Genomic DNA, 2488 nt, shown 5'->3' on the forward strand with positions numbered 1-2488 from the left:
ATTATCAGGAAAGGGAGCCAGAGCATGAGGAAGGTGATGCTTGCTATTTGGGACTTGTTGCTTTGAGGTGGATGCATCTACCAGGCAATTGAGAGCAAGGGCTACCACAGAGGGTGGGGTGCTTGAGAATGCTATGATACCTGCCCATACTCTTCCTGTCCTTGGGTAGGGCAGAGAGGGCATTTTGTTTTGTTTGTCAGTGAGCTGGTCTCCAGGACAAGGTTAAATATATATTAAAATGTACACACACACACACACACACACACACACACAGAGTCGGCAGCATATCATCCATTCTCTCTTGGCTAATACACAGGCAGAAGTCTTTATGCTGAGCTGATCAATGCCCAGTCAGGGCATTCTTTTCATACACACACACAAAAATCAATTAGTCAGTCTGAACCAACAAAGAGGAACAACAGGATGGCCCAACTGATGAAACCCACTTCTAAGAAAGCTTATACTGTGTAGTTATTCATTTAACCTTCAAAATAACCCCATGAGGTAGATACTATTATTATGGTCATTTTTACACATTGACACATTCCCTGTGGACAAAAGTCTTTAAGATAAGATAAACATTTGTTGGTGGAAAGAGCCTGGGCTGAGAATCAGGACACATGGCTTGTAACTCCTACTTTGCAGCTTACAAGTGTGTGATGGGTCTCAGTCTTCTCATCTGTAAAATAGGAGCGGGGTTGGAGTGCAGAATCACTAAAGTTCCTTTCTGCTAAGGCTCTAGGATTCCAGTACTGTTCCCAGGACCTCATATTTTCATTGGCTTCCTGGACCCAGCCTGGCTGCTCAGCTCCTGCCCCCAGCTGTCCCTTTACTAGCAGGCACAGGCTATGGCTTCCATCCAAAGCTTTGCCTTCCCAACTTGCCCCAGGGCCTTCAGTGAGCATCTGTCATTTCTTCCTGCTTCTTGTTGTGAAGTTTGGGGGAAGAGTGGCACCCTGTGGGGCCTGGCCAAAAGGCCAGGTTCTTCCCCATCTGGCTGAGGACAGGGAAGGAGTGTGGCAGATGGTGAGCAGAACTGTCCTTGCCCTAGACCCGGGGGGCCCATCACCTGCCACCCTCACTCTGGCTGCAGTCTTGCTTGGTTGGCAGCACCCACCCTGCAGCCCAGCTAGTCAGCCAAATGGCCTGTACAGACAAGGAGCTGTGAGACTTGGTTTTTTACTTCTCATTGCTTTTGTTTTCAGGGTTGGCAATTTCATTTTGCTGGATGAGGAAATTCAGATCCTCATCTGCTTCCAATGCTCTCTGACCCTGGATCAGGGTCAAAAGAGGCTCACTGGCCCTCTGCCCTGCTCCCACTAGTCAGAAGGTCTATGCTGCAGGGTGGAATCCACTTCAGGGAGCCAGGGAGATCTAGCAAGAGGTGGGTATTGAGATAGTCACAGGCTCGGACTCCGAACCTGGTTCTGCTTTTTCCTACCTCTCTTAGAGATCAGATTAGGAAATAGAGGTGGAATGGAGTAGGTCACCTCTGGGTGGTCTTTTCAGATCTTAAACCTATTCCTGTACATCAGGTTGACACACCACAGCCCACAGGCCAAATCTAGCCAATAAAGTTTTATTGGAACACTGCCATGCCCGTTTGTTGTAGCTGCTTTCATGCTACAGCGTTGAATAGTTACAACAGAGACCGTATGTGGCCCACAAAACCTAAAATATTTACTATCTGGCCCATTACTGAAAAAGCCTACTCAGCCCTGCTCTTCATAGCTATTCTCACAGTCATAGGGGTTATGGAATTGCCTGCTGCTCTCCTTTTAGCCAAGGCTGTGTAATAATACACGTCTCTTGTGGCCAGGTGTGTTTCAGAGCTCAGAACTGCTTGGATTTCAGTGTACGTGCACTGCATATATGGTTCTATTAGACATCACCCATGGTAGGGCCTGGGACAACATGCCATAATCAAATACATTCATTTTTCTATAGTGAAATGTAGAACTATTCCCTCTACATAAGATAAATAAGACCACAGATATGTTCCCATCAATGCAAGCCAGGCTCTACCACCTAATGTGTTCATGTCAGGTCAGATGTGGCTGCAAAATGAGTTGTGAAAGTCAGTTTTGGATCTCAGAGCATTAGGGCTATCAGAATTGTTGCTAAGGAACTGTGTTGTCATACTGACGCTTTATTGGGCACTGGAGCAGAGGAACTACAGTCCTCTGAGGGGGTGTGATGATCTATTTGGTAGATTAGGAAACTGAGACTCAGAGCAGGCATATGGCCGAGGTCACCCAGTTAGTGAAGAGCAGAGCCCACACCCAAATCCAGATTTATCTCCAAGTTCTAATCCTAACCTCCTTTAAGACCCAGGTTTAATCCCCTGATCCCTATCACCTTTCATGAAGTCTTCCCTGAGAATGAAAGTCTACATTTACCTCTGACTTTTCCAATTTTTTTTGACTTTGAAATCCAGCACTTAATTATACGCTACATGGTGTTGTTATGCCTCAGTGGTCTTCTCATT

The 2488-nt window shown here is 46.3% G+C and overlaps 1 annotated feature.

Moving 5' to 3' along the window:
- Positions 734-1028: a silencer, noted in NCBI's record as "tiled region #1691; K562 Repressive non-DNase unmatched - State 21:Repr". NCBI's record gives its function as "represses a minimal TATA promoter and a strong SV40 promoter by Sharpr-MPRA in K562 cells {active_cell/tissue: K562}" and the evidence as "EXISTENCE:reporter gene assay evidence [ECO:0000049][PMID:27701403]".

This window comes from Homo sapiens, chromosome 15 (genome assembly GCF_000001405.40).
Source record: "Homo sapiens chromosome 15, GRCh38.p14 Primary Assembly".
Taxonomy (NCBI): domain Eukaryota; kingdom Metazoa; phylum Chordata; class Mammalia; order Primates; family Hominidae; genus Homo; species Homo sapiens.